Raw genomic sequence first — 13,489 nt, forward strand, 5'->3', positions numbered from 1 at the left:
ATTCTGAGGCCTCTCCAGCCATGTGGAACTGTAAGTCCAATTAAACCTCTTTTTCTTCCCAGTCTTGGTATGTCTTAATCAGCCACGTGAAAACGGACTAATACACAAGCAAAAACCAAACAACTCCATTACAAAGTAGGCAAAGGACATGAACACTTCTCAGAAAAAGACATCCAAGTGGCCAAGAAATATATTTAAAAATGCTCAACATCACCAATCACCAGAGAGATGCAAATCACATCAGAGAGATTAAAACCACAATGAGATAGCATCTCATACCAATCAGAATGGCTGTTATCAAAAAGGCAAAAAATAACAGATGTTGGCAAGGTTGCAGAGAAAAGGAAATGCTCATACACTGTTGAGGGAAATGTGTATTAGTTCAGCCCTTGTGGAAAGCAGTTTGGAGTTTTCTCAAATAAATAAAAATAGAGCTACCATTTAATCCAGCAATCCCATTACTGGGTATATACCCAAAGGAAAACAAATTGTTCTACCAAAAAGCACATGCACTCATATATTCATCGCACCACTGTTCACAATAGCAAAGACATGGATTCAACCTAGGTGCCCATCAATGGTGGATTAGATAAAGAAAATGTGGTACATATACATCATGGAATATTATGCAGCCATTTAAAATTTTTTTTTTAAATCATGTCCTTTGCAGCAACATGGATGCAGCTAGAGGCTGTTATTCTAAGTGAACTAACACAGAAACAGAAAACCAAATATTGCATGTTTTCACTGATAAGAGGGAGCTAAATCTTGGGTTCACAAGGACATACAGATGGAAGCAATACACACTAGGGCCTCCAAAAGGAAAGAGAGGTATAAAAGGAGGGAGGCAAGGGCCGAAAAACTTCCTATTGGATACTATATTTACTATCTGGGTAATGGGATCAATAGAAGTACAAACCTCACCACCATGCATTATACCTTTGTAACAATCCTGCTCATGTACCCCCTGAATCTAAAATAAAATGGAAATTTTTCAAAAGCAATTTAAAAAATGGTAATACCTGTCGTGTTTATCTTACAGATACTAGTGACAGTCAATTAACATTATTGATGGGAATATCCTTTGAAAAGTATTAAGAACAATAAAAGTGTAAGGCATATTTTGTGTTTTTCTTTAAAAAAAATGTGGAAGCTTCACTGGGTATTGTCCAATGAAAGAACCACATTTCCTCTGTTGATGTTAGAGTCTTAGGAACTGTCTGCCTCTGAGCACAGCTCTCCTGTTCACTTAGAAAGACTTATAGGTACTGGCCAGGATTTTTTTCAATATGCTTAATGCAGTAAAAATGAATAAAGTAATAGCCCTGGCCCATGGTCATTATCAGATTGCCACCCAAACACAATGTCTTCCTTGGAAAGGAGCAAATTCACCAGTCAGGGGCCACTGTACTCATCAGGGTAGTAATACCAGCAACTGTAACAAACTCCCAATTACCAGTGGCTTAACACAACTAAGGCTATTTTCTTACTTATGTCACAGTCCAATGCATGTTGGGTGGTTCTTCTTCAGGCTGCCTCCTTTTTGTGGCTTAGACATTATTCAACAGTTAGATGAAAGAATAATGAAAGTATGAGGAAGGCATGTCAGATACTTACCATCTCAGCCGTTGCAGCATTAACTTCTCACAATCCTTAGGTATGCTAGTCACATGGCCAACTAACTGTGAGACAGGCTGGACAATGCAGAGGAACACAAAGGACAGAGATGGGCACTAATAGTCTCCATAGGACTCCATAAGCCTTAGTCCTAGTTCAGCAAACCACCTTCTGGTCCTACACACTAAACTGTAGCACAATCCACTCAGATAGAAACATTTGGTCATGTCTGTATTAAGACAAAATTGGATGAGATGCGATAGGATGCAATGGGAAGAGAGGAGACAGGATGAGTAGACTGGCTCCTTACAAGCATCTCTATACCACTAGCACCTGCACAGTGTCTGTGCAGTATACAGATGCTGGTATACCACCCTAATAAATGAGCAGTGTGCATCTGTTCCATAACAAAACAGAAGAATAATAGGTGACAGCAAATATCCAAAGAAGATGCCTCTTTCAGCAAACATAGGCTTAAGTTGTATGGTTCTCAGCAATCTTTAATTGTGATAGGGTTAATGAGGTTTAAGGATGGCAGGAGGCAGAGCAGTGATCCTCCTCTTTTCTTGGCTTGAATTTGGTTCCACAATATCTAAGCAAGCATAAATTACCTTCTTCACTCCATTCCTTGATTTTCAACTCTTTTTCTTTCCTTGCCTCTCCTGCTTTGCTCTCCAGATGGTTTTCTCCTTCAAATCCCCCTCCTTGATTTTCCTTCCATCTCCTAATACCAAGTAGCATGAGGGTTGGAGCAAATGTGGTCAAGATTTGACATGTGGTTAATGTTGGACAAATGTGAGCAAAACAAAGGGTGATCAGTCATTAAATAGAATTCTAGGTTTAAAAGGGACTCTAAAAATTGTGGAGTTCACAAACAAATAGTACAAGTAGCAATTTCCTGCCCATCAATTATGATTTAAACTCCATCGGTATTATTTATTTTAGCTATTGATATTCTGTATAAGATTCTGTGCCAAAAATATGAAAAAGAGTGATGAGGACCGGTCTTCTTATCTTATGAAAGAGAGAAATGAGCCATAGAAGAGAACGTCTTGGCCAAAGTCATACAATGAGTGATTGAGGGAAAGAGGGAGGGAGGGCTACAATTGCACTGCCCAGTATGATAGCCACCAAGCACACATTGCTCTTGAGAATTAAAAGTGTTGCTAGTCAAATTTGAGATGTGCCATGGTGTACAGTACACACTGAGTTTCAAAGACTTGGTAAAAAGAACATAAAATATTTCAATAATTTTTTGTTCCAATTACCTGCCAAAATTATAATATTTCTATATTGGGTTAAATAAAATATATTATTAAAATTAACCTAATCATTTATTTTTAATGGGGCTACCAGAAAATTTTAAAGCATATTTGTCACTCAAAATGTAATTCTATTGCACAGTGCTAAACTAGGATACAGACCTTTTGTTTCTATGAGAGTTCTTTCCCTTGCCACAATACTACTTTTATTTGCTTTGTTAGTTTGTCCGTTTGTTTGTTGGCTTGATTACTTTCTTAAGCACCAGTCATAACCCAGTCAGGACCTTATCACTTTTGTCAACCTTAAATCAAAAGAAATGTAAGTAAAAAAATCTAATCCTTCTGACTTCCTCCAAATGTGAACATGCTTTTCTATGCAGAGACAATTTTTCATATGTACCCTTTATGTCGCTCTGGTTTTGCCTCACTGAGATGTGGCCTTAGAGTATCAGCTCCATACTTGAATCTTTCACACACACCAAGGATACTGCAGGCTCAGTGTCTGCTAATTCAGTGGAACTCTTTTGCAGGTTAGGACTTCAGCAAATGCCCAGGCAGTCCAGCCGTCTGTAGGAAGACCTGGCCTCATGGTTTGGGGAATTTGTCCTATTGAAACAGAAAAACTGTTACTAGTCCAACTACTCAGTCTTCTCTCCAGTCACAATCTGCTTTTTAGATCATCTGCTTTTTATCAAGTTCTTCTTTGGTAGGAATTTAAACAGGAAGGAGTTCATAGGGCTCAGGACCAGTGCTTTTTATTCCATTGTGGACTTGGAGAGAAATCTAAAAGAAAAATTTCCTCTAGATGGAAGAGTAAGAGAAGAGTCAGAGAGAATACAATCTTCTGCTATTGTTGTATTGCCTTCTATTCCTTTTTATTTTTTCTTTTGGTTTATTGATCTCTTTTATTCTGGTCTTATCCTCTCATCCTATTTTTCTCTGAATGCTTGTCACTGAAGGCTTGGTGGTAGAATAGAACAGCCTTTCAATCAGGCAGAATCTGATGGCCTACTATATGCCAAAGATCTGACACTGTGCAGTGTGCTGCAGGAGGAAGAAATGAACCACATGGGGCCAGCCCTGCAACGTAATGCCCTGTGACATTTTCCAAAGTGTTCTGTCTATTCCTGCATTCAGAGAAAGTGAAAAGCCCATCTTAAAGAGATTATTTCTTTTTTTAATCACACAAATAACCATAGAGATGAATATAACACACACGAATGTACTTCTGCTTCCTCAAAGTCTTAACTTTTTATTTTTATTTTTTTCTTTTTTTTATTATATTTTATGTTCTAGGGTACATGTGCACAACATGCAGGTTTATTACCTATGTATACATGTGCCATATTGGTGTGCTGCACTCATTAACTCGTCATTTACATTAGGTATATCTCCTAATGCTATCCCTCCCCCCTCCCCCCTCCCCCCACCCCACGACAGGCCCCTGTGTGTGATGTTCCCCTTCCTGTGTCCAAGTGTTCTCATTGTTCAATTCTCACCTATGAGTGAGAACATGTGGTGTTTGGTTTTCTGTCCTTGCAATAGTTTGCTGAGAATGACGGTTTCCAGCTTCATCCATGTTCCTACAAAGGACATGAGTTCATCAATTTTTATGGCTGCATAGTATTCCATGGTGTATATGTGACACATTTTCTTAATCCAGTCTATCACTGATGGACATTTGGGTTGGTTCCAAGTCCCCTGTGACATTTTCAAAGTGTTCTGTTCATTCCTGCATTCAGAGAAAGTGAAAAGGCCATCTTAAAAAGATTACTTCTTTTTTTTTCAATCACACAAGTAACTATAGAGATGAATATAACACACACAGATGTACTTCTTCTTCCCCAAAGTCTTAACTTTTTATATTTGCTTCAAATCTTTTTTTTTTTTTTTTTTTTTTGAGATGGAGTCTCACTCTGTCTCCCAGGCTGGAGTGCAGTGGCACAATCTCGGCTCACTGCAAGCTCCACCTCCCAGGTTCACACCATTCTCCTACCTCAGTTTCCCGAGTAGCTAGGACTACAGGCGCCCGCCACCATACCCGGCTAATTTTTTTTTGTATTTTTAGTAGAGACAGGGTTTCACCGTGTTAGCCAGGATGGTCTCTATCTCCTGACCTGGTGATCCACCCACCTCGGGCTCCCAAAGTGCTGGGATTACAGGCGTGAGCCACCGCGCCCGGCCTATTTGCTTCAAATCTTTGTAATGCTCTTAAGGAGACTACTTCTGTACACAGTGTCCTTGCAGCTCAAGCCCAGTCAGAGATACCTGACAAGTGGTCAGTCTTTTTATTTTTATTAATTTCTATCTCATTGATCCTTGTTGTAAAACCTTATTGGAGTTTGCCTGTGGCCAGGTCATGGATTAGAGGTTTCATTGCCACCAAGGAATAGCAAAGTCATTAGCAAACTCTGCCCGTGTGAGTTCCTGCATTGTCGGTATCTTTCAAATGTCTCCATCATCTACCACTGAATGTCTCTATTATTTTTGCAATAACTTCCAATGGGGGTGTTTTTCTCAGGACATATGTTCTGAAGCTTATGAAGGAAATCATGATGTATTACCTGAATAGGTATTTTTTTTCTCTTTGAAGATTTGTTCAGTGGAAACACAAAGGTCATTCACTTAGCAACCACTCCTACCGTTGACCCACGACATGAGAAGCAGAGGTGATTCTAGAGAAAGATAATCAGTCCAAGCTCAGCTTTTACTGGCAACCAGGAAGATTCCAGATTCTAAGGACAAACATAAATCCTGCCCCAGAAACAGATCCCTCCCAAACTGTCATCAGAGCCAAACTATAAAAACCACAACTGTCACCTGGGCCCCCACTCTCAACACCCAGCTTCTGCTTGCTATCTTGGGTGATAATCAGCCACATCTTTGTCCAGATTCTGAGGGCCCCAGCCCATTCCCCTGGACAGTCTGTCACATTCTCTCCAAAGCGCATTTGTTCAGAGGCATTAATGTCGCACTTTAATTCAAATCACTTTACCCCTTTATTATTCTGAATAAAAACAAGAAAGGAAGTAGGAGGAGGTGGAGGGAGAGAGGACAGGTTTGTAGCAGGAAACAGAGATCAACCCTATGCTTATGTTTGGGGGTGACTGGATCAAGGAAAAGGTAGAAAGGAAGAGGGAAGAGTTGGTAATTAACCCCAGTAAGTTGCTTTCCTGAATTACCAGGAAAGGTCAGGAGTAAGACTTGATTTTACAAAAGATATAAAGCAAAGAATCTAAATCCATCTTTTAGAACACATTTTGAATTCAATGCTCTTGTCCCCTCTATTAGTTTTCTATTACTGTGTAACAACTTACTCCAAAAATAGAGGCTTAAAATGACTAACATTTATCATTTTATAGTTTCTCTGAATCAGAAATCCAGACACAGCTTAGATGGGTATGTGTGGCTCAGATTGTCTCATGAAACTGCAGTCACGCTATGGGCCGGGGCTACAGTCTTATCTGAACACTTGACTGAGGGAGGTCTATTTCCAAACGCATTCATGCGGTCATTGGCAGGATACAATTCCTCATACCAAGGATTCTGCTAGGACCACTGTCTGCTAACTCAGTGAAAACACTGGGCAATTTAGAACTCAGCAAATGCTGAGGCTGTCCAACAACCCTCAGAGAGATCTGGCCTCATTGTTTTGGGAGTCTGTTGTTATTAAAACAGAAAAACTATTACTAGTCCAACTACTGAGTCTTCTTTCTAGTCCCGACCTAATTTCTACATGATCTTTATAGTGAGGGTTCCACAAGGCTGTCTGGTAACATTGCAGATGGCTTTCCCAAGGGTGGGCAATCCAAAAGAGAGCAACAGAATATTCCCAAAATAAAAGTCACATTATTTTTATAACCTAATCTTAGAAGGTTATTTTTAAAAGTATGTAACGTAGAAGTTATATCTGAACACTTCTGCCATATTCTGTTCAGCAAAAGTGGATCAATTAGTCCAAGCCACATTTAAGGATGGAGGATTATTCAAAAGTATGAATACTTGGGATCATTAAGATGGTCTTAGAGGCCATCTATTACATTATTTATCATTGATTCACTTTAATTAAAGGGTTTGTTTTGTGTGAATTTATAGAATTTGTTTCTTAAAGTTTTATGGATCAATTAGAGGTAACATATAGAAAGTATTACAATATGATGGATGATTTAGCCAAAAAAAATCTGACTGAAAGCAATTTTGTGGAAATAGAGTGGTCCAACAACAATTTGGTCAAAATATATCCTAGTCACTGGAGAAATGGATATATAAAAGTAAAATAAAAGTAGAAACTTCCCAAATCCTAAAAGGCAGAAAAAAATTCCTGAAGATTCATAGGGGTTACAAAACAACTTTCCGTGATGTACCAAAATTAAAAATGTCATGAAACTAGAGACAGGCTATTCATACTCCAACACATGATTATATTGGTCAGCTTGCTTCATATGAAATTGTATTTGGTTAAATTGCCTTCAGTTGAATCACCCTATCTTGTTAGAAAAAAATTACAATTCACTTTGGAGCAAATTTGTTGCCAGCATTTTATGTAAAGATTTCCAGAGTCGGCGATTAGTGCTGGAAAGCTGAGAGATGGTGCCAAGTAACAAATTACTCCAAACTAGTCGTTTAAAATAACAATAATAATTTATCATGTCTCATGCTTTTTGTGGGTCAAGAATTTGAGGATAAGTTAGCTGGATATTCTCACTTGGGATTTCTTATGAAAGAAGAATGCAGTCAGATGTCAGCTGTAGCTGCAATCAAGTAAAGATTGATAAGGGCTGGGCCACTTCCTAAGTGGCACAATTGCATGGTTGTCCAGTTGGTTTTGGGTATTGGTGGAAACCTCTGCCTTAGCACCTCCATGGAGCTCCTTGAGTATGTGTTACGGCATGGCAGCTAGCATCCCCCTGAGTAGAGGATCTAAGACATAAAGATGGAAGCTACAATGCCTTTAATGACTCAGCCTCAAGAGTCACATACTGTGATTCCCACCATATTTTATTGGTCACACAGATTCAAAGTGGAGGAACACTACACAACAGTGTGAATTCTAGGAGATATGAATCATTGGGGGTCATCTTGGAGGCTAGCTATCATACAAACAAAGAAGATGGGCCATATCCAGCCAGTTTTTTACAAATCCTTCTCTCAAAGGCCCTTTGTCTCATTACAGAGATAAATACTGGCCTCTCCTTGGCTTCTATAGAGCCTAAGTCAAAGTGAATTGAGACTTTCAGTCTGCATCCAAGATGGGCAATTGAAGTACAGTTTATGGGAGGAGCCAGCCTTTAACCTAAGGGTGGCCTGGTGGAATAATAGGGACATAAGGGAAGGCTCTTACCCAGTAAAATATTAGTCCTGCTCCTGGGGCAATAAAGCTTAAATTCCTCTAGAAACAGGAAAAAAAATGCTATTACATATTTATAGGAAAATCTTAAAGTGGAAACATCCCAAAGAAATGTAACATACTGATCTAAATTTACATCAAGATATGAATAATTTGTGACAGATATTGTTCTGAGAAGAAGCTTTCAGAGACGTTGGGCAACAAAAAGAAAGTGAAAAGAACCTTACAAAAAATATGGGAGAGGCTTCCAAAGAAGTGAAAGTTAAATCACTGACATTATCATTTTTCCCGGACCCACACTTGTTCTGTAACAGTTCAAAGACAGAATTATAGAAAATAAGATATAGTAGCGTAGCCAGGCCAGGCGTGGTGGCTCCCATCTCTAATCTCACCACTTTGGGAAGCTGAGACAAGAGGATTGCTTGAACCCAGGAGTTTGAAGCCAGCCTGGGCAACATGTTGACATATCATCACTATGAAAAATTTTTAAGAATTAGCTGGGCATGGTGGTGCATGCCTGTGGTCCCAGCTACTTGGGAGGCCAAGGCAGAAGGATCACTTGAGGCTGAGAGATTGAGGCTGCAGTGAGCCATGATCATGCCACTACACCCCAGCCTGGGTAACAGAATGAGACCCTCTCTTTAAAAAACAGTAAATAAATAAAACGAAAGTTATAGTAGTCAAAGACTAGAAATGGATGCTAAAATAGAGTGCAGTTAGAAACCAGTAATTTAAAGAAATGTAATTTTAGACAAGTGATTAAAGTCTATAGTTAGTCAACTAAGACTTATTTTTGCCTATTGATGAATGGTCTCTCCTCACATGCCACTCTGCTGTTATACCTTTAACAGCTCTTACCTAAGGCAGTATCAATAGGAGAAGCACAAAGAAAGAGGAGACGGCATGGAGACCTGTGGAGGTACAGTCATAAACTACACTTGAACCAGAAATGAATTACTGCAACAGAACTTCTGCTGATCATTTACACTATCTGGAATTGTTACAAACGGGCAGAAAAAAAGTATACCAATCTTGGCCTGTATTCCCACAAATGACTAAGAGCTGGCTGTGTAAAAAGTTTTAGGTCAAATCTCGTGACAACGAGCTTCCAGAAGCATAAAGGGATGTCCCATTGCTTCCAGGATTTTGCAATTTGGTTGTACCAAATATTGCTCAATATCACTCTCAAATACCTGAAAACCATTCCGAGGAAATAATCCTTACTCAAATTGATTATGACCCAAGATACATAGATCACAGGCTATAATTTCCAAAAATGTGGATATTTTAATACCTAATTCCTTTGCCATTTTCCTTCCAGAACCAACTCTGCTAACACATTCCCTCTTTCTGCTAGAAAAGAAAAACTGCCACCATCTTTAATTCCCTCGGTCAGTCATGGCCACAAGATACCATTTTTTCATTACCAATGAGTGCTTCTAGGGACCATTATGCTCACATACTATACCATGCAATCAAATGTTTCATATTTTGAATTTAGAGGAAAGTTCATTGGTGCAATTAGAAATTCTACACACACACACGTTAGAAAAAGTTCCTAATCAGAGTACCAGCATAAGTAAAAGTGTTCTTTTTAGTGGAGCCCTTCACAAATGAGACAAAACTTGTGATGTATTTGTCTCTAGCAAGACACTACAGAATGCAGAACTTGATGCAGGTTTAAAATAGTGACCTTCGCCCTCTCCTTCGATTAGACTTTAATGAGCTGTGTCTGTCATGTTCACTGTTGTATCTTGGTAAGCAATAAGGTGCCTATCATATAGTAGAAGCTCAATATTTGTGGAATGAATAAATGTGGATAAATAATAAATGAGTCAATGAACTGTATTATGATTCTCCCCGCCACCCATCTGTGACCTGAATTCAATCCTATAAGTTTTTCCAAACCCTAAATCCAGCACTATATTCCAGATTCCTCTGGATTCCCAGCACTCTGTCTCATCTTCTTACCAGCTGGCCCCGATTTTCAGACACCCATTTACCCCCTCCTCCCTTCTCAAACTCCCTCTAGTCCCTACTGATCCCCACAGTTAAGTCCGGCGTTCTTCTATCTCCAAGTACAGAACAAAATTAAAACGTGTGCAAGAGAAACGAGAGCTCAGGAAAAAACACCTACTAGCCTTTACTATGCCCCCATTCAAACCCTGATTTTAATCATTTGTGCATTTATGTATTAGTCCATTCTTTCTTTCAACAAATAATAGAGTGACTTCTGAATTCTGTTATTCATACTGATACATAGATACATCCAATATGGAACCTCCAGTAGTTGCAGTTCAATAATCAAGATCTGGGCTGGGCATGGCGGCTCATGTCTGTAATCCCAGCACTTTGGGAGGCCGAGGCGGGTGGAATACCCGAGGTCAGGAGTTCAAGATCAGCCTGACCAACATGGTGAAACCCCATCTCTACTAAAAATACAAAAATTAGACGGGTGTGGTGGTGGGCGCCTGTAATCCCAGCTACTTGGGAGGCTGAGTCAGGAGAATTGCTTGAACTCAGGAGACAGAGGTTGCAGTGAGCCAAGATTGCACCATTGCACTCCAGCCTGAACAACAAGAGTGAGACTCCGTCTCAAAAATAATAATAATAATAATCAAGATCTGGCAAAGAAAGAACGTATTCCTAGTGCTGAAGTCCCAAGTTACTCCTAGTGCTGAATCCCATTTCAGTGATGAGTATAGGGAAACAAATATTACTGAGTCTCTACTATGTGCCAGGCACTATACTGCATGCTTTTCATATGTCATAAAGAATCATTACCATGGAACTTGAATGATGTCCTTGGATACTGTTTTAGTACATTGAGCCTGTGTGTCTAAGAGAGGTCTCCAGCTCCCTACACTTCAAGTCCTCTGGCTCTTGTAAAACAACTGAGTCACAAGTAACAGATGCAACTGTAACACAGTTACAGATCAAGACACAGATCTTGCTTGTGTTTACAGAATTGTGATCCCACTAGAGGAAACACTGGTTCCTTTGCCTGTGTTTACAAAATTGTAAGCCTGCCGAAAGAACCTTTTGTTCGATGTTAGATTAGAATTGCATTACTCTCTGGCTTTATGAGAAACCTAATTTCAAGTTAGTCACAAAGAGGATGACTGAGTATCTGAGACAGAACATTAATAAAATCAATAATACACTCATTGGAATATGTTCATGGCTTTATTAAATTTTGATCAGGATGGGTATAGTGTCTCATACCTATAATCCCAGAACTTTAGGAGGCTGAGACAGACAGGTTGCTTGTCAGTAGGTCAGGAGTTCGAAGTCAGCCTGGCCAACAGGGTGAAACCTGTTTTTACTAAAAATACAAAAATTAGCAGGATGAGGTGACACATGCCTATAATCGCAGCTACTCGGGAGGCTAAGGTGGGAAGATCACCTGAGCCTGGGGAGGTCGAGGCTACAGTGAGCCATGATCGCCCACTGCAATCTAGCCTGGGCAACAGAGTGAGACCCTGTCTCAAATATATATATATATAAAAATATATATTTAATAAATAAATAAGTTTTGATCAAATAATACATCCATATTTCTTTTTCTTTTCTCATTTGAAACTGTGTCTTCTTTCCCGCCCCCTGCCCTTGTTCTCTGTTCCCACTTCCCATCTCTGAATATAAATAGTTGTTTTCACATTCTTTGGATTTGGGCACAATGAGCATAGCTCACCATCCAAAATGCTTCTAGTTTTGAAGCCTCCTTCTGAGCATCAAAAAAGTTGAGATGATTTGCCAGGTGTGCGAGTTCTTGCTGTGTGCCAAAGTAATGCGCCAAATCACTCAGGAAGAGACATAAGATTTTCCAGTGTCCAGATGAGCCAATGAAATATGCTTTCAAATGCTTGAAATATAAATTGACTACCTTTTGTGAAAAGATTCTCTGTTATAACTGAAACCTGGCAAGAGTAGGAGCAACCTGAGGGGACTTTCTCCTCTCTGACTTGAAAGCCCTGGGGAAGTGGGGTTTCACTTTTAAGCAGGTCTGGTTGCCAATGAATTCAGTATGATTGGACCTCACATTTTAGATGCCAGGAAATTTTCATTAAAAATAAAACTCTTGAAACTTGACCTTTTATGGTCATAAAATTCCACACCATTTAGCACATTAACTAGCACCTGAAATGATGAGGGAACGTCTTGATTTAGTTTAGCATAGAAAGCATCTGATAAAATGAGATCCGTAGGGGCATCTCTGAGGTTTTATAATTACCATGAGCTGTCATCAGTACATTATATCTGTTGTCTTCCTGATTCATTAGGATCATTATAGCTAAATCCACTGTAAGTAAAATGGTGGAAATGTCCATAGGCCATCCACCATGTATTCCACAGATGAACAGAACCAACAGGGCAGATAAAGGCTGAATAAAGTGACAAAAAACACTTAGCTTTAACTTGGACCCCCTTCTAAACTGGTGCTATTTCACAAAACCTTTGATTCCTCACCACTTTCCTTTCCAAAAGTACAAAGTCAAAAAGGAAATGAGGGTAAAAGAGTGATGCGTCAGAGGTTTCATAATTATGTAAAAGTTCACTACCCTCCCTTCCAAAAGCACAAAAAGCCAAAAAGGAAACGAGGATAAGAGAGTGATGTGTCAGAAGGTTTTATAAATATATGAATGTTTATTTACACTAAATAAAATTATAATTTCCCCAAAGTTTCAGAGTTTCAGAATATTCCTGTCTTGTTTTTGTCTCAACCAAGCCGTGTTCTACAAATATTTACACAATCATAAGGCAGATCTATTTCAGGAAATTGAAGAACTGAGAACATTCTCCAGATAATTTACTGTAAATTATTATCATCAATAATATGTTCTAGCTCCTAAACCTCTCTTCTTCTGAAGAAAATATTATATTTGGATGATGATGATGAGCCTCATAACCCCAGTCACATTCTGTTTCTTTGTGCCTGGGTAGGTCATGAATACTGAGGACTTCCTCCTTTCCTTATATTTTTTATATGCAGATAAAACCTTACAAGGAAATTCACACAAAAAAATAATAACAATTAACTATAGATAATGGGATAAAGAGTCATATGTTTTTAATATTTTCAAAAATTTTAACTAGAATAATGTATTACTTTTCAAATAAGGAGGGAAAAGACCATAAAGTTTGTTTGAAGAAAGGTTCTAGGGCCCAGTTCTCATTTAATTAGGGTTTTTCCATATATATGGAAGATACTCAATTACCTGGAGTTCATCTACATCACTTTATCTTCATACATGATGAAGGA

General features: G+C 38.9%; 1 long non-coding RNA gene across 1 annotated transcript in view; it reads right to left on the reverse strand.

Moving 5' to 3' along the window:
* Positions 1 to 4,531: 4,531 nt before the first annotated feature.
* Positions 4,532 to 13,489, reverse strand: part of LOC107985447 (uncharacterized) — a 58,364-nt gene continuing 49,406 nt past the window's right edge. Inside the window, exons 2-3 of the long non-coding RNA XR_001737805.1 lie at positions 5,444 to 5,554; positions 4,532 to 4,611 (exon numbers count right to left, since the gene is read on the reverse strand). This is a non-coding gene — a long non-coding RNA (uncharacterized LOC107985447). The remainder of the gene's footprint in view (positions 4,612 to 5,443; positions 5,555 to 13,489) is intronic.

This window comes from Homo sapiens, chromosome 1 (genome assembly GCF_000001405.40).
Source record: "Homo sapiens chromosome 1, GRCh38.p14 Primary Assembly".
Classification (NCBI taxonomy): domain Eukaryota; kingdom Metazoa; phylum Chordata; class Mammalia; order Primates; family Hominidae; genus Homo; species Homo sapiens.